The sequence below is a fragment of the Homo sapiens genome, chromosome 10 (genome assembly GCF_000001405.40).
Source record: "Homo sapiens chromosome 10, GRCh38.p14 Primary Assembly".
NCBI classification, from domain to species: Eukaryota; Metazoa; Chordata; class Mammalia; order Primates; family Hominidae; genus Homo; species Homo sapiens.
In genome coordinates this window covers 16434722-16453344 of record NC_000010.11, presented here as the reverse complement: position 1 = coordinate 16453344, position 18623 = coordinate 16434722, and the positions used below count along the sequence as shown (strand labels likewise).

Here is an 18623-nt window from a genome sequence, read left to right as displayed (position 1 = left end):
CAATTTTTAGTTTCCAATAATCACAACACAACTACAGAAACTACTCTGAAAATTTTGTGCCAACTTAACCAAGAATAATTTTATTCTTTAGTAGATGGTGAAATAAGTGTTAAAAAAAATCAATAACCTGGCCAGGTGCAGTGGCTCATGCCTATAATCCCAGCACTTTGGAAGGCTGAGGCCGAAGAATCACTTGAGCCCAGGAATTCAAGATCAGCCTGGGCAACACAGTGAGACCCCACCTGGACAACATATTGAGACCCCATCTCTATTATATTAAAAAATAAGAAGAAATGGCTGGACGCAGTGGCTCACGCCTGTAATCCCAGTAATTTGGGAGGCTGAGGCAGGCAGATCACTTGAGGTCAGGAGTTTGAGACCAGCCTGGGCAACATGGTGAAACTCCGTCTCTAAAAAAGTACAAAAATTAGCCGGGTGTGAGGGCATGCCTGTAATCCCACCCACTTGGGAGGCTGAGGCAGGAGAATCACTTGAACCTGGGTGGTGGAGGTTGCAGTGAGCCAAGATCATGCCACTGCACTCCAGCCTGGGTGACAGAGCAAGACACTGTCTCAAAATAATAACAATAATAATAAATGAGGAAGAAGTAGAAGTAGAAGAAGAAGAGGAAGAGGAAAAGGAAGGAGAAGGAGAAGGAGAAGGAGAATCATCATCAGCAGCAGCAGCAGGAGAAGAAGAAGAGGAAGAAGGAGGAGGAGGAGGAGAGAAAACAAAAAGTCACAGCTGGGCGCAGTAGTTCATGCCTGTAAATCTCAGCACTTTGGGAGGCTTAGACAGATGGAGTGCTTGAGGTCAGGAGTTCAAGACCAGCCTGACCAACATAGTAAAACCCCATCTCTACTAAAAATACAAAAATTAGCTGAGCTGAGCGTGGTCATGCACACCTATAGTCCTAGCTACTTGGGAGGCTGAGGCAAGAGCACTGCTTGAGCCTGAGAGATGCAGGTTGCAATGAGCCGAGATCATGCCACTGCACTCCAGCCTGGGTGACAGAGTGAGACTCAATCTCAAAAAAAAAAAAACAAAAAAAGTCAATAATCTGCTTGGCTTTTTTCAGTGCTTTCAAAAACTGTGATATTATATATATGTATATGTATATATATGTGTGTGTGTGTGTGTGTGTGTGTGTATCCCACTGGTGGTTCAAACTGATTTTAGGTGATATATGGGCATTTAAAACTTTTTTAAACAAGTTGTTATTTATTTTAATGTGTTTTAGAAAAAAGAAAGTAATCAACATTGCAAGCCTGTGATTTCATAGATATTATTGTTTAGGATGGAGCTAAAGTAAAAAAAGTGGATTGGTTTAAAGAAAAACTATTAAGTAATTAGTGGTAAAGGTAGTACACAGGCATAGCCAACACTCTGGAAGATGATACGAGCATAAATCAAGTTTCACAAGAACTGATGAAAATTATACTGAGTTTCCAAAAATTAAAGGGCTTAGCAACATCTCCACAATGTCTTGTAACGAATTCATTTTATTTCATCTATGAAAGAAATCCTTTTCTGGGGGGTAATAACCCTCCCAACACATCAGATATATAGACTGACTTCTAATTAGGCAGAGAAAACTACTGTCCAATTTTATTTTATTTATTTATTTACTTTTGAGATGGAGTCTCACTCTGTTGTGCAGGCTGGAGTGCAGTGGCACAATCTTGGCTCACTGCAACCTCTGCCTCCCGGGTTCAAGTGATTCTCCTGCCTCAGCCTCCTGAGTAGCTGGGATTACAGGAGTGCACCACCACACCCAGCTACTTTCTTTTGTATTTTTAGTAGAGACAGGGTTTAGTAATGTTGGCCAGGCTGGTCTCAAACTCCTGATCTCAAGTGATCCACCCACCTTGGCCTCTCAAAATGCTAGGACTACAGGCGTGAGCCACCACGCCCAGCATATTAGCCAATTTTAACTCTCAAACCTTGTGATGGTTAATATTGAGTGTCAACTTGATGGACTGAAGGATGCAAAGTATAGTTCCTGAGTATGTCTGTGAGGGTGTTGGCAAAGATTAACATTTGAGTCAGTGGACGGGGAGTGGCAGACCCACCTTCATTCTGGGTGGGCACCATCTAATCAGCTGCCAGTGCAGCTAGAGTAAAGCAGGCAGGAGAAGATGACAGAGCAGGCTTGCTGAGCCTTCTGGACTTCATCTTTCTCCCATGCTGGAGGCTTTCTACCCTCAAACATTAGACTCCAAGTTCTTCAGCTTTCGGACTCTTGTACTTACACCAGCGGTTTACCAGGGGCTCTTGGGCCTTTGGTCACAGACAGAATTTTAAGGATGGAGTTCTTTAGTGCGTTTTGGGGTTTCTGGAGTTGACTGCTTAATCTAACGACATCCAAAAATGCTAAGTACTCTACTTCTAATAGTATGGAGAACGCTGATAGTCCTTAGTGCAAACTGTTTAAAGAGTTATGCAAAATAGATGCATTTGATACTCCTGATTCACCACTCATGAGGGGCAAGGGGTTTAGTGACTCTGTACATAATACCTTTGACCATATGTGGAGAACCAAGGAATACAATAAAGTTGGTTGGTTGCTACTTAGTTCGCTGGACAAGGTAATGAAAGCAAAGGATGAGTTCAGGGATTCTAACGTCCAGCTCCAGAAGCACATACTGAGCCTCTTCTAAGATTGCCCTGAAGGAGAGTCTTATCTCCTGTAGACAAAGGGCTGAAATTGTGGAAAATCAGACACAAGCTTTTATCATGTGAGTGGCTGATCTGCAATGAAAGGTGGATGCTCAGTCTCATCAGATGTCTCCTGTCAAAGTGAGGGCATTGACTGGAAAAGAATGGGACCCTGCAACTTGGAATGGGGACATGTGGGATGACCCAGATGAAACTGGGGACACCGAGCTTATAAACTCTTATGAGCCTTTTTATTTTCTTTAACCAGAGGAAACAGCTTCCCCATCCCCAGTGATGGCAACATCCCCTCTTCCACCCATACTGCCATCAGCCTTTCCACCTTTGTCTGAGGAGATTAACCATGCACTACCTGAGGCAACAGTGATGGCCTCTCCTGAGGCAGTTGCCAGGCAAGACAATGTCAATTCTCCTCAGGACCCACTCCCAATACCCGTTTGCTTCTAGATATGTAACTAGACTAAAGTCCCAGTAGGCCCCTAGAGATGAGGTTCAGAGTATGACCCATGAGGGGGTGCGCTACATTCCAGAAGAATTGCTTTACTTTTCTGACTTATATAGGCAGAAATCTGGAGAACAGGCATGGGAATGGATATTAAGGGTGTGAGATAATGGTGGATGGAACATAAAGTTGGATCAGCCTGAACTTACTGATTTGGGCCCACTAAGCAGGGATTCTGCATTTAATGTTGCAACTCAGGGTGTTAGAAAAGGTTCTAAGAGTTTATTTGTTTGGTTAGCTGAAATGTGAATCAAAAGATGACCCACTGTGTGTGAGCTAGAAATGCCTGATTTCCCTTGGTTTAAGGTAGAGGAAGGGATCCAAGGGCTTAGGGAGATTAAGATGCTAGAGTGGATTAGTCACTTTAGACCTACCCATCCCAGCTGGGAGGGCCCAGAAGATATGTCCTTCACCAATACCTTGTGAAATAGATTTGTGAGAGGAGCACCTGCATCCTTGAAGAGCTCTGTGATTGCTCTTCTTTGTATGCCAGATCTTACAGTGGGAACACCAGTCACTCAACTACAAAATTTAAATGCAGTGGGAATAACTGGATCCTAAAGTGGCAGAGGGCAAGTGGCAACACTCAACCATCAAAGACAAGGTGGGCATTGTTACTGTAATGGACAGCAGAAGCAAAGAGGCGGAGGTTGCAGTGAGCCGAGACTGCACCACTGCACTGTACCCTGGGCGACGGAGTGAGTGAGACTCCGTCTCAAAAAAAAAAAAAAAAAAAAAGAAAATTATTGTTGAAACCCTTATCCAAGAGTAGCTGGAAGAACATCTTTTAATAGAGTTTTAGCTCAGGTCTGAAATACAGTGGGTCCAGTGGGTCCCTGGACTCACCATGTGGTAATTTCCCTAGTACCAGAATGCAGAATTGGCTTAGACATACTTAGCACCTGGCAGAATCCCCACAGTGGCTCCCTGAATGGTAGAGTGAGGGCTACTATGCTGGGAAAGGCCAAATAGAAGCCATTAGAGCTGCCTCTACCTAGAAAAATGGTAAATCAAAAACAATATTGCATCCCTGGAGGGACTGCAGAGATTAGTGCCACCATCAAGGACGTGAAAGACGCAGGGGTGGTGATTCCCACCACATCCCTGTTCAACTCTCCTATTTGGCCTGTGCAGAAGACAGACGGATCTTAGAGAATGACAGTGGATTATTGTAAGCTTAACCAAGTGGTGACTCCAATTGCAGCTGCTGTACCAGATGTGGTTTCATTGCTTGTGAAAATTAATAAATCTCCTGGTACCTAGAATGCAGCCACTGACTTGGCGAATGCCTTTTTCTCCATTCCTATCCATAAGGCACACCAGAAGCAATTTGTCTTCAGATGGCAAGGCCAGCAATATACCTTTACTGTCCTACCTTAAGGGTATATCATCTCTCTGGCTTTGTGTCATAATCTTGTTCAGAGGGACCCCGATCGCTTTTTCCTTCCATGACTTATCACACTGGTCCATTACATTGATGACATTATGCTGATTGTACCCAGTGAATGAGAAGTAACAAACACACCAGACTTATTGGTGAGATATTTACATGCCAGGGGATGGGAAATAAATCCGACTAAAATTCAGGGGCCTTCCACCTCAGTAAAATGTCCAGGGGTCCAGCGGTGTGGGGCCTGTCGAGATATTCCTTTTAAGATGAAGGACAAGTCGCTGCATTTGGCCCCTCCTACAACCAAGAAAGAGGCACAATGCTTAGTGGGCCTATTTAGACTGTTGGAGGTAACACGTTCCTCATTTGCGTGTGTTACTCCCACCCATTTATCAAGTGACCTGAAAGGCTGCCAGTTTTGAGTGGGGTCCAGAACAGAAGAAGGCTCTGCAACAGGTCCAGGCTACTATGCAAGCTCCTCTGCCACTTGGACCATATGACCCAGCAGATCCAATGGTGCCCAAGTTGTCAGTGGCAGACAGGGATGCTGTTTGGAGCCCTTGGCAGGCTCCCATAGGGGAATCACAGCAGAGGCTTCTGGGATTTTGGAGCAAGGCCCTGCCATCTTCTGCAGATAACTAGTGTCCTTTTGAGAGACAGCTCTTGGCCAGTTACTGGGCTTTGGTAGAAACTGAACGTTTAACTATGGGTCATCAAGTCACCATGTGACCTGAACTGCTTATCATGAACTCAGTGCTTTCTGACCCATCCAACCAGAAAGTAGGGTGTACACAGCAGCATTCCATCATCAAATGGAAGTGGTATATAAGTGATTGGGCTCGAACGGGTCCTGAAGACACAAGTAAGTTATGTGAGGAAGTGGCTCAAATGCCCATGGTCTCCAATCCTGCCACCCTGCCTTCTCTCCCCAGCCTGCACCAATGGTATCATGGGGAGTTCCCTATGATCAGTTGACAGAGGAAGAGAAGACTAGGATCTGGTTCACAGGTGGTTCTGCACAATATGCAGGCATGAATATATGCAGGCATATATATAAATACGATGTATGGTGTAAAGAATATGGACCAAGACCTTATAGTCAGAGATAGTATAGCCACTTACAAAGCTTTCGCATATTTATAGATAAAAGGTCTAAAATTTAATACATCATTCTTTGTATAGAAACAACTTATAAAAAATTGTCCTTAATGCTAATGTGAAATTGTTATGTTATATAGTAATAATGAATGTAAACCTATTTTGACCAAGTTATTACTAACACAAAAATAAAAACAGAGAAGTGAAAACAGGTTAACAAAAAAACTGGTGTCACTACATAATGCATTACGAAAATTCCACATAAAAAATATTTTACAGGCTTAGTGCAGTGGTTCACACCTGTAATCTTAGCACTTTGGGAGGTTGCGGCTGGAGGATCACTTGAGGCCAAGAGTTCAAGACATTGACCTGAGCAACACAGTGACACCTTATCTCTACAAAAGTAAAAAAAAAAAAATTAGGTGTGGCATGTGCCTGTCGTCTCAGCTATTTGAGAGGCTGAGGTGGGAGGATCGCTTGAGCCCAATAGTTCAAGGCTGCAGTGAGCTATGATGGCACCACTGCACTCCAGCCTGGGCAAGAGAGCAAGACTCTGACTCAAAAAAAAAAAAAAAAAGAAAAGAAAAAAAGGCCGGGTATGCTATCTCATACCTGTAATTCCAGCACTTTGGGAAGCCAAGGGAGGCAGATCGCCTGAAGTCAGGAGTTCAAGACCAACCTGGCTAACATGGCAAAACCCTGTCTCTACTAAAAATACAAAAATTAGCTGGGCATGGTAGCGCACGCCTGTAATCCCAGCTCCTTGGGAGGCTGAGGCATGAGAATTGCTTGAACCCAGGAGGCAGAGGTTGCAGCAAGCCGAGATTGCACCAATGCACTCTCGCCGAGTCAACAGAGGGAGACCCTGTCTCAAAAAAACAAAACAAAACAAAACAAACAAACAAACAAACAAAAATGTCTTACAATCTTGGTGGTCTATCAAAATAGAAAAGAAAGAATTAAGAAATTAAGCGTTTTGACCTCACCATGGCAACAATAACGAGTAGCAACAGTCCATGAAATGTTTCTAATGCTAAGAAACTGCATATGTTCTTTAATATATATAACAAATCTAACAATTAAATTCAATACACAAATGGGACTATGTAGAGTCTTCATGGAGAACATTTTAAACTTGAACTTCTAACTTGAAATAGTTTGATCTCTCTATCTAACTACACTAACAGGCAAAGAGTGAAAAGATAACACTTGAGAGGAATGATCATCAACAAGGGGCACTGCACCAGCCTGATCAACATGGTGGAAACACGTCTCTAGTAAAAATACAAAAAATTAGCCAGGCATTGTGGTGCACGCCTTTAATCTCAGCTACTCAAGAAGCTGAGGCACAAGAATCACTTGAACCCGGGAGGTGGTGGAGGTTGCAGTTAGCCAAGATCACACTGCTACACTCCAGCCTGGGCGACAGACCAACTCTATCTCAAAAAAAAAAAAAAATGTTGGGGGTGGGGTGGCGTGCATTGCACCTCTATTTGTAAGAGCCTTCTCCCCACCCCCGAACATTCAAGATCAACTATGGTTGCAAGTCAAAGTCTCAGTAATGTCAGTATTGGAAATAGCAAATTCTTTACCACTTATGCACTGAGCTGCTCCGAAATATCTGGCACACAGGAGAAAGAGAAACACTCTTGAAGATGCACTTTACTAAATGATAACGGGGCAAGCTCAAAGCAGCACCAAAGCAAAAGGGAATCATCTATGCCAGGCCTGACACTTATGCAGAAATGTGAGCGAGACTCACAGGCCCAGGACAACTTCTCATCCTAGATATGGAGGCTGAGAGGACTTGGATGGGCTTTGGCCATGTCAGCCCCTCAGGAGGCAGTGTCCTCTGAAGACCACCCAGGAGACAGCATGGCTTCCTTGGTGTCAGCCTGTAGGATCCTTCCTACAACAGCAGGGAATGTTTTCAGAGAAGACATTGGGCAGAAGGCACTAGCCACGCATGGTGCATCAGTGCATCGGAGACAAGTGGCCTCTTTGTAAGTTTCTGTGTTCACCGGATTTGTGCCATGGCTAATAGGCTCTGAAATCAAAGACTGAGCTTGGAGACACTGCAGCCTGAGAGCCTGGGAAATGCTAACTGGGAGAAAGGCACTGACTCATGGAAGTAATAGACATGTCATATGCCAGAGAAGCATAAATAAAAAATGTCTCAAATAATCTAGGCCAAAACTAGGAAAGATACTCTTCCAGCTACTCTTGGATAAGGGTTTCAATAATAATTTTCTTTTTTGTTTTTGAGATGGAATCTCACTCACTCTGTCGCCCAGGCTAGAGTGCAGTGGCACGATCTAGGCTCACTGCAACCTTCGCCTCCCAGGTTCAAGCCATTCTCCTGCCTCAGCCTCCTGAGTAGCTGTGATTACAGGCAGGAGCCACCACGCTCAGCCTCAACAACACTTTTCTACAGAGCGATTGGTAGTTAAAACCATACTCGACTTAATATTGTCTAACATAGGCATGCATACCTCATTTAATGTGTCCCTTATATAGGTATCGAATTTTGCCTCACAGGAGGCCATATATTTCACTCATTTATTCTCCTTTTTAAAAAATAACTTTTATTTAAACTTTTTAATATGGACATTCTCAAAAATTCGCTAATGTAGAGAGTGCAGTGTAGTGAACCCCTACTCATCCATCACACAGCTTCAATAATACATTTCCACTTAAAACAGTTTTAAAGAGAAAAGTGTTTTACAGCCCATTCAAAACCCCAAGTTTTACTTATATACTCTTACATACCCATGTAACAACCCTCTAATATTTCTGACTACCAATTTACTACGTAAGATTCTTTTAAGGATTAAAAAAAACCCTATTATTCTATTCTGAGGGAACATTGTAAAAGCTCGTCAGAAGCAAAGATAGTATGCATTATAGATATGGACAGATAATGTCAAACTGAGGCCTTCTGTGCCTTCACATTCCCCAATATTTCTTTGAATATAAGAGCTTTGCTAGCTGGTTGTGGTGGCTCATGCCTGTGATCCTAGCATTTTGGGAGGCCGAGGTGGGAGGATCACTTGAGCCTTGGAGTTGGAGACGAACCTGGGCAACAGAGTGAGACCCCATCTCTAAAAAAAAATGTTTTTAAATTAACCAGGTGCATCCCTGTGCCAGGAGCCAACCTGGTCTTCCCGAGGGGTAGTGCCCCAGTGAAGACAAAAGCACGAGAATAAAGTTCCCTGTAGGTCCTCTGTCCAAAAAAAAAAAACCAGGCGTGGTATTGAGGTATTGAGCACCTGTAATCCAGCTACTCAGGAGGATCGCTTTAGCCCAGAAGCTCAAGTGAGCTATGATCACCACCACACTCCGGCCTGGGTGACAGAGCAAGACACCGTCTCAAAAAAAAGAAAAGAGGCCGGGTGCGGTGGTTCATGCCTGTAATCCCAGCACTTTGGGAGGCCGAGGCGGGTAGATCACGAGTCAAGAGATTGAGACCATCCCGGCCAACATGCTGAAAATATACTAAAAATATAAAAGTTAGCTGGGCATGGTGGCACGTGCCTATAGTTCCAGCTACTCGGGAGGCTGAGGCAGGAGAATCGCTTGAATTCGGGAGGCAGAGGTTGCAGTCAGCCGAGATCGCGCCAATGCACTCCAGCATGGCAACAGAGCGAGACTCCATCTCAAAAAAAAAAAAAAAAGAAAAAGTTTTTAGCTTCCTAGGCTCACATCTTTTCTCACAGACCTTTCTGTTTTCAGTTGATAGTATCGTGATAATTGTAAGACACAACATATTTAAGCAAGATGAGCACAAGATACCACTTTATAGAAAGAGCAGATAGGACCACAGCATACTCTAGCGATCCTCTGGCCCTTTTTGATGGTACACGTAAGTACATGGACTCATCATAGTAAGTTTCTGATTCGGAGAGGAAATTTTTGGTAAAAATATGTGCGAGTTGTTACAGCAAATATTTGGATGTTTGTCATTCAGACTGCAAGGTACGCTTGATTATGTACATTTTTTTCTTAACTGCTTGATGAACTCTATCCAAGTCATTTAATAATGTTGCTTCCCTTTTTACCTAATTACATAAATGTTTAAAGTCACGAGCATTAAGCTCTCCTCCAAGTAATGTTAGTTAAAAAGAAGTTCCTGAACTGAGGAGATTCTCCAAAGATGTGTAGTCATCACTTGGAAGGTCAAATTTAACAATCAAAGAAAATAACTCCAAAAACAGTAGCTTCCAAACAGACCATTACTATTGCAGTGGAGCATTTTGGGCTCAGTTGTATCTCCCTGCAAAATTTGTCTGTTGCAGCCCGAACCCTCAGCACCTTAGGATGTGGTTGTATTTGCAGATAGTCTTTACAGAAGTAATTAAGTTAAAAGGGGGTTGTTAGGGTAGGTCTCAATCCAATAGGACTGGTGTCCCTATAAAAGATCAATACCCAGACATGCATAAAAGGGAAGACGGCCATCCACAAGCCAAAGAGAGAGACCTCAGAAGAGGCCAACACTGCTGACACCTTGATCTGGGACTTCCAGCTGCCAGAGCTGTGAGAAAATAAATGTCTGTTGTTAAAGCCACCCAGTTTGTGGTATTTTGTGATGGCAGCCCTAGGAAGACAAACATAGTGAGTAATCAAGGTCATCTAATCTAAGCTACAGAAATGGCCCTTAATTACACCTGGGGGCTCTACATTTTATTTCATCTTATTTTTATTGTTTTTGAGACAGAGTATCACTCTGTCACCCAGGCTGGTATGCAGTGGCACAATCTTGGCTCACTGCAACCTTCGCCTCCCGGGTTCAGGCGATTCTCCTGCCTCAACCTCCTGAGTAGCTGGACTTACAGACGTATGCCTGGCTAATTTTTGTATTTTTAGTAGAGATGGGGTTTCGCCATGTTGGCCAGGCTGGTATCGAACTCTTGACCTCAAGTGGTCCGCCTGCCTTGGTCTCCCAAAGTGCTAGGATTACAGGCATGAGACACCACGCCTGGCCTGCAGGCTCTGAATTTATAAAGTGAGAAGAAAATCTGTCAAAAGAGCTGGCCAGGCACATGCAAGTCAACCTAATTCTTATTTACTTATTTAATAGAGATGGGAGTCTCACTGTTGCCCAGGCTGGTCTTGAACTCCTGAGCTCAAGCAATCCTCCCGCCTTGGCCTCCCAAAGTGCCGGGATTACAGCATGAGCCACCGTGCATGGCCAACCTAACACTTTTAAACAAATTCTGATGGCAATCAGATGACAGCTCAGGGCATGGGCTCTGACCAAATAAATCTTTATTTCAATTTCTCAATTACATGGTCGGGCTTTATCTGTCCTCCAAACTGTTAGAGAGCAAGACTGATAACATCTAACCTTTCAGATATGCAAGAATGTAGGAGATGAGACATGTCGAATTGTCAAGGCATAAACATGAGATAACTTTGAGAATTTATGAAAATTTAAAAAATGTTTTTAAAAATCAACAAACAAATAATTTGGAAAATAGTAAGCCACATCAGGAAAGAAATTTTGTGGGTACACAGTAACACCAAGGATTTTGTGGTCGCAATGGGCTTTCAGTTACATAAAAGAGCACGAAATTAACAATATTTACCAATATTCTCTTCAAAGTGCTCTTCACACACCAAATAATTACCCAATTAAGCCACTGCAAGATAAGTTGCTATTACTCTGGATTTAGTAAAAAGAACTAATAATTACTCTTTTAACAGTTTCTGTGAAGAAAGAACTCAGTGTTTACCATACACAAGTGAGCACATCCCACCCGTTTAATAAGTAGGGAACAGGAAAAAAAAAAAGGCTGATTATGTAAGTGAATTCAGTGGAGGACACAGATGACTAAGAACCACAACCTGTGAAAACAGAGAATTTAATATGTAAAGCAGAGACCACCATTGGCAAAAGGCTATTTATGAATACTGCCAATACTTAGCATTGCCAGCTGACAATAGAAGATCTTCGGTCATGCCCCGAACAACATAATTCATCACACTAGTGCTTGGGCCAGTCACGTCCAAGCAATTTATCATCATCATATCACTCGCCTGACTATAATAAGGGGAGAACTTTGATTGTTAACCTCTAGGGAGACTGGATTTATAGCCAGTGTCCCCTAAGAATGCAGCACAGCTCTGTCCAAAGCACAATGCTCCCGGCTTGCCTTCTGTTTAACTCAGAATAAAAGAGTGAACACACTGCCCCTAGGACATTAACAGCAAAACCTAAGTCTGATACTCTTAGATCCGAAATCAGATAGCCAGGAAATCATATTTAAAATACTCTTTGAAGCTGCCTGAAAAAAAACGTATTAGTCAATGGTAAGTACGGATGATTCATTTCAAATGTCCTTCAGTGACAAAATAATTTCTGAAATGTATCCACTGATAACTGCATTTGGGAAGAATCATCTTTTCACAACTCACCCACGAACATTCCTCTGTATTGGAAAACTTGGAAGTGCACTGAAAATTGTTAAAAATATATAAATTGTGTTTTTCAAAGTAAAAATGAAAGCCTTGATTCTTATCCCTTCCAGGCATACAGCCTTTACCTATTTTACACTTTAACATGGTCTGCCCTTACAGAATGCAATTAAACATCTAAACGCCATTTTTGCCACTCTTGATTAAAATCACAAAGCAGACTGGAGCATGATGGGAACAGCACACCTGCCATCTCCCACACAGTAAAAGGAGCATGATTCATAGGACAAGCCTCTTTCAGGGCCCTCCCCACAGCTCCCAAGGTATCTGGTAAACCAGAGCCAGAAATCCCCGCATACATGCAGCTTATCTGATAATATTCATTACGCAGGCTTGACCAGGCTAGGCCACAGTAACACTCAAATCCCCGAATCTCAGGGTCTGACCACAACAAAAGTTTATTTCTAGCTCATCGAATACGTCTAACACAGGAAGGCAGGGGGCTCCGCTCACTGTCCTCTATGACCCAGGCTGAGACCACTGCCTCTATCTGGATGGTCACTGCGGCAGAGGGAAAGTGATTGTGACAAATCTTTCACTGGCTTTTAACACAGTTTTACCTGGAAGTGACACAGGTCACTCCACTTGCGTTTCGTTAGCCAAACAAGTCACGTGGACATACCTGCCTGGAAGGAGACAGGGAAATGGCTAACATTCACAGCTCTCACGCTGAGCAGGCACAGAGGTATTTGTACTCAGGTGGTTATTGTTTTGACAAAATAGGTACAACCACAGAGCCAGTTTATGCCAAATGGAACCAGATATTTTATTTTTCTTATTCTTTTTTCTTTTTCTTTTTTTTAAGAGATGATGTCTATGAATGAGAAGCCTTTTGTTATAAAAGTGTTATTAAGGGCCGGGCGTGGTGGCTCATGCCGGGAGGCTGAGGCAGGTGGATCACCTGAGGTCAGGAGTTCAAGAGCAGCCTGATCAACATGATGAAACCCCGTCTCTACCAAAAATACAAAAAAATTAGCTGGGCGTGGTGGTGCATGCCTATATTTCCAGCTAGTTGGGAGGCTGATGCAGGAGAATCACTTAAACCTGGGAGGCAGAGGTTGCAGTGAGTCAAGATAGGGCCACTGCACTCCAGTCTGGGCAATAGAGTGAGACCCTGCCACAAAAAAAAAAAAAAAATCTTGTTAGGAAAACCTGGACCACTGAAAATACACTAGAAACAACAGCTAAAGAAAACAGAACAAAGCCACATTTGATGTATGAAAATATATTCAACAACTACCTCAGTCAAGTTCATAGGGATACTGAGCAGACTCGAGCTTGATCAGAAATTCTCAATATTATTACTATATGGCTTACTAGGGCATTTAATAGATTTGAAGTTGGCTGGCTGCCGTGGCTCACGCCTGTAATCTCAACAGTTTGGGAGGCCGAGGTGGGAAGATCACTTGAGCCCAGGAGTTTAAGACCAGCCTGGGCAACAAAACAAGACCCCCCATCTCTACAAAAATAAATAAACTAATAAATATTTTAAAAAGAAGATATTTAAGGATAAACATTCCTCCTGTATGAATGGGTCCTGTATGTATGTATGTCCTGTATGAACACTTTGCACATGGAAGCAAAGGTGGACATTTACCAAGCTCCTCTCATGCTATACAGTTCATCATTTTGTCTTTAAGCTTAAAACTGAGACAATCTCTAAAATTCTTGCATCAGGGCTGCTTACTCAACTTAAAATAGTCACAGGGATCCTATGGCCAAGTCCTGGCACTGAGTACACGGTCATGTACTTCTCCAGATTCTAAATGATCTATTTTTGTGTTCTCTTACTCTCTGCTTCTATTTGGCTCAAAATTTACTGACACTTCAAAGGATATTAAATTGCATTTTTTTTCAGAAATGCTTCTCACTTTAGCCATATTGAAGGTATTTTCTGTCCTTCACAGGGAAGGGGAAATTTGCCCAGTGAAACTGATCTTTCCCTAAGTCCCTCCAGAAAAGCCACTGTCCTGATTTTCCTCCTGTCTCACTAGCCACCTTCTGGCTGGATACTCCGCTACTGACCTCCAAAATACACATTTATTGATCTTTGATTGAATAAACAGACCCTTCCTGACTACCTTGTAATTTCAGCAGCAAATATGACCCAAAACTGGAAGACCCTCTCAATCTATTCTGGTTTGAGGGCTGCCCAATTAAAAAGGAAAAAAACTGGCCCAAAATATCATTAAATGGTAAAATCAGGATCTTATCCTCATAAATCCATAGATTATTACATCCACTAGCGACCTAGAGACCACTTACCTTTTTTTTTTTTTTTTTTGAGACAGAGTCTTGCTCTGACACCCAGGCTGGAGTGCAGTGGTGTGATCTCAGCTCACAGCCGCCTCTGCCTCCCAGGTTCAAGCAATTCTCGTGCCTCAGCCTCTCCAGTAGCTGGGATTACAGGCATGCCCACCACCATGCCCAGCTAATTTTTTGAAGAAAAGAGGTTTCACATGTTGGCCAGGCTGGTCTCGAACTCCTGGCCTCAAGTGATCCACCTGCCTCAGCCTCCCAAAGTGCCGGGATTACAGGTGTGAGCCACCGCGCCTGGCCTGAGACCACTCACCTTAATGTGTCTAGAAAACAGGCAGGCCAGGCGCAGTGGCTCACGCCTGTAATCCTAGCACTTTGGGAGGCCGAGGCAGCCAGATCATTTGAGCCCAGGAGTTTGACACCAACCTGGACAAAATGGCAAAACCCCGTCTCTACCAAAAATACAAAAAAAAAAACAAAAAACAGAAAATAAAAACTAGCCGGGCGTGGTGGTGTGCACCTGTGGGAGACTGAGCTGGGAGGATCACTTGAACGGGGGAAGTGAAGGTTGCAGTGAGCTGTGATAGCACCACTGCACTCCAGCTTTGGTGAAATAATGAGACCTAGTCTTAAAAAGCAAGAGGCCGGGCGCGGTGGCTTACGCCTGTAATCCCAGCACTTTAGGAGGCCGAGGTGGGTGAATCACAAGGTCAGGAGTTCGAGATCAGCCTGGCCAGTATGGTGAAACCCCGTCTCTACTAAAAATACAAAAATTAGCTGTGTGTGGTGGAGCGCGCCTGTAGTCCCAGCCACTCAGAAGGCTGAGGCAAGAGAATCGCTTGATCCCGGGAGGCGGAGGTTGCAGTGAGCCGAGATCGCACCACTGCACTCCAGCCTGGGCAAGGGCGAGACTCTGTCTTTAAAAAAAGCAAAAGAAAACCAACTTGTAGAAAGTCACTGAGCTGGAACCAGAACTAGAATAGGGCTCTACTCTTTCTGGGTCCAAAGTTCTTTAAATCAGCAACCCCTCTTACTGCCTATGTAAGGGTATACCTTTAGTTCCTGTTGACTTGGGATGTACAAAGAATGAGGTAGTCTAAGAGAGTAACAGCACACTGGCTGTGGAGTCAGAAAGACTCCACCTCTAAACTTTGTTTCCATCTCTAAACTTTCCAGCAGTGTGGCCTAATTTTTCTGTACCTTAGCTTTGTCGTTATCACTAGAATCCTTCACAGGGCTGCAGAGTGGATTAAGCAAGAGTGCACAGGACTCAGACATATGACCGCTGGTAATTGGCTTTTATAAACTGTCAAAAAATATAGACCTGTAATGCCAGCACTTTGGGAGGCCGAGGCAGCAGACTGATTGAGCCCAGGAGTTCGAAACCAGCCTGGGCAACATGGCGAGACACTCTCTACAAAAAATACAAAAATAACCGGACATGGTGGCACGTGCCTGTAGTCGCAGCTACTCAGGAAGCTCAGGAGGCTGAGGCAGGAAGTTCGCTTGAGCTCAGGAGGTCGAGGCTGCAGTGAGCTGTGATCGCGCCAAATGCACTCTAGCCTGGGAAGCAGAGCCAGACCCTGAATCTAAAAAAAAAAAAAAAAAAAAGCTTATTAAAGGAGGCTTAGCACAGCTACCCGATGACGCCCCCGGGCATTGCTGTCGAGCCACAGGGAGCTGGCGCCACACGGGACTGGCGCTCTTTGCAACGTCCCTCAAGCACTTAAGGAGAGGCGGCAGGGCCCAAGCGCAGCGGCTAGAAAATCCTTCCTTCCGGCAGGACCCTCGCGTGGAGCTCTGCAGCGAACCCTGGCCGCGCGGCCTCCGCCGTCGGGCCCCACTCTTCCTACTGGGCCCACAGTTCCGGCTCCTGCTCTGACTCCAAGAAGCCTTACCTCGGGTACAACGCGCTGCCTTCTCCCTGGGAACTTCCGGCAGGCCAACTTCCCTGGCCTTTTTAGTCTCCCCTGTGCCCTCCCACTTCGCCCTCTGGTTCTCTCCCCGCCCCTGGCCCGAGGTCACGCCCTCACCGAGTCCTAGGACACGCCCCGTGGGTCCTTGCCAAGCCCTACCTCTTCGTAGGACACGCCCTTCAAACCCTTGCCACGCCCCACCCTGGTCCGGGGCCGTTCCCCGCGTTTTTGCCTGGCCACACCCTCCTGCAGGCGCTGTCTGACTGTCGGTAGTTTGGCTGAATGAAAAAAATTCGGGGCTAGATCCCCAAACGGAAAGAAACTGTTGCATTTTCCCCAGATCCCAGTTCTCCATAGAACAGTCTGGAACAAGGGAGCATTCCGTAGCTCTTTTGGTTTTCCCCAAGAATAAATCGGAGGTGGTGCTCTGGCAATTTGATGTCACAGTGGGTTCTGGATCCTCATGCTGCATACGGAGAACTTTGGTTTTTGTGTTCCCACTTGTCACTGTTTCCTGCCCCGGTGCCGCGTTTCCTTCTCTTTAGAATTAGAGTGCCGTGCTAGAGCACTTGAACTGGCCCTGGTACTTGCTGTGACTGAAATAAACTTAGTATGTGTGAGTCTGTTGGCAAAACATGATGCTTGGAGCAGCTGCCACAGTAAAGAGTCATACCTTTAGGTATTGTAGGGGGCCAAGGGCAAACCTCTCCTTCGTCCTCTGAAAGTTTGCTGAAAATCAACTGACAAAAGACAGTTTCACAGTAGAAAAGGCATACAAATATACTAGATCGTAACTTTATGTGATCCGGGAGCCTTCAGAATGAAAACCCAAAGATGCAGGGGAAACGGTCCATTTTTTCGCTTAGGTTCAATAAAGTATGGACCGCCATGTATTCAGCTGGTGCAAAAGTAATTGCGGTTTTTAATGGCAAAAACCGCAATTACTTCTGCACCAACCTAAGAGATACTACGATGGCATAAAAAGGGTCTGAGCTAATGCCAATAGACTAAGTGAGCAAGCCCTGTCTGTTTAGATTCTTTTTGGCTTTTCTGTGCAGTGTTCCTTCCTTCTGGGTATAGAGCAGGATCCTTTCTGGAATGGGGGTCTTATGACCTACAGTCAAACAAAGCAGGGCAGAGAATTTCTTTACCGCCAGTTTTGACACAGAAAGGCAGGGGACACGCAGAGTCAAACTTTTAGGTTTTATGCTTGGCTTTGGGGATGAGGGGTTCTGGCTTCTGTGAATCACCTTGGGGAAGAGGGATTCCAGTTTCTAGAATGAGGGGCCAGAGGCAGGAGGACATGAGGTTAGAGAGAGCTGCTTCTAAGGCCTTCATTTTGGGGTATCATTTTCTGAACCCCAACCATATTACACTGTCATCAATTATTATTATTATTATTTTGAAATGGCTCTGTTGCCCAGGATGGATTTCAGTGGTGCAGTCATAGCTCACTGCAGCCTTGAACTCCTGGGCTCAAGGGATCCTCCTGCCTCAGCCTCCTGAGCAGCTGGGACTACAGGTGTGCACCACCACACTCAGCTAATATTTGTAATTTTTGTAGAGATGGAGGTCTCGCTATGATGCCCAGCCTGGTCTCAAACTCCTAAGCTCAAAGGATCCTCCCACCTCAGCCTCCCAAAGTGTTAGGACTACATGCATAAGCCACAGCACAAGGCCTAGTCAATTAATTTTATCCTGAATTCTGAGAAAAAAGAGAATAGGTATGCAGATGGGCAGAAGCTACAGATGTCATTTCAAAGGAAAGTAGAGTTTTAATAATAATATTAATAGATGATGTTTATCGGGGCCAACTCTACCAGGTTTTGTAATGGGTGTATGTTATTTTGTTTAAGATTTTGAGCAACCTGCATGTGGCAGGAGCTATTTCCCTCCAATTACAGACAAGAAAACAAACTTAGGCAAGCACCTTGTTCAAGGATAGGACTAGGGACCCAGATTAGTTGATATCAGTCACTACACTTGCCTTCTTAGTAAAGAATGGGGAATTTTTTTGGTTTGTTTGTTTGTTTGTTTTTGAGACAGAGTCTTGCTCTGTTGCCCAGGCTGGAGTGCAGTGGTGCAATCTCACCTCACTGCAGCCTCCACCTCCTGGTTTCAAGGGATTCTCCTGCCTCAGCCTCCTGAGTAGCTGGGATTACAGGCACGCCCCACCATGCTCAGCTAATTTTGTGTAATTTTAGTAGACATGAGGTTTTGCCATGCTGGCCAGGTTGGTCTCGAACTCCTGACCTCAACTGATCCACCTGCCTTGACCTCCCAAAGTGCTGGGATTACAGGCGTGAGC

General features: G+C 44.4%; 1 protein-coding gene across 10 annotated transcripts in view, besides 3 other annotated features; it reads right to left on the bottom strand.

Annotated features, from left to right (window-relative positions):
- Positions 1 to 16335, bottom strand: part of PTER (phosphotriesterase related) — an 82011-nt gene extending 65676 nt beyond the window's left edge. For 5 of the 10 annotated variants that reach the window (XR_007062018.1, NM_030664.5, NM_001261836.2 and 2 more), the window contains exon 1: positions 16298 to 16335. Coding sequence is in view for 2 of the 10 variants with exons in the window: in XM_047426006.1 (XP_047281962.1) it covers positions 15600 to 15677 (78 nt within the window). In the remaining 8 variants the exon portion in view is untranslated. Of the gene's footprint in view, positions 1 to 15599; positions 15989 to 16297 lie in introns of all 10 variants that reach the window. The other 5 variants (XR_007062017.1, XM_047426006.1, XM_047426007.1 and 2 more) reach the window with 2 other exon arrangements.
- Positions 15741 to 15790: an enhancer, noted in NCBI's record as "active region_3098". NCBI's record gives its function as "activates an Ori minimal core promoter by ATAC-STARR-seq in GM12878 lymphoblastoid cells {active_cell/tissue: GM12878}" and the evidence as "EXISTENCE:reporter gene assay evidence [ECO:0000049][PMID:35858748]".
- Positions 15811 to 15990: an enhancer, noted in NCBI's record as "active region_3097". NCBI's record gives its function as "activates an Ori minimal core promoter by ATAC-STARR-seq in GM12878 lymphoblastoid cells {active_cell/tissue: GM12878}" and the evidence as "EXISTENCE:reporter gene assay evidence [ECO:0000049][PMID:35858748]".
- Positions 16411 to 16460: a silencer, noted in NCBI's record as "silent region_2175". NCBI's record gives its function as "represses an Ori minimal core promoter by ATAC-STARR-seq in GM12878 lymphoblastoid cells {active_cell/tissue: GM12878}" and the evidence as "EXISTENCE:reporter gene assay evidence [ECO:0000049][PMID:35858748]".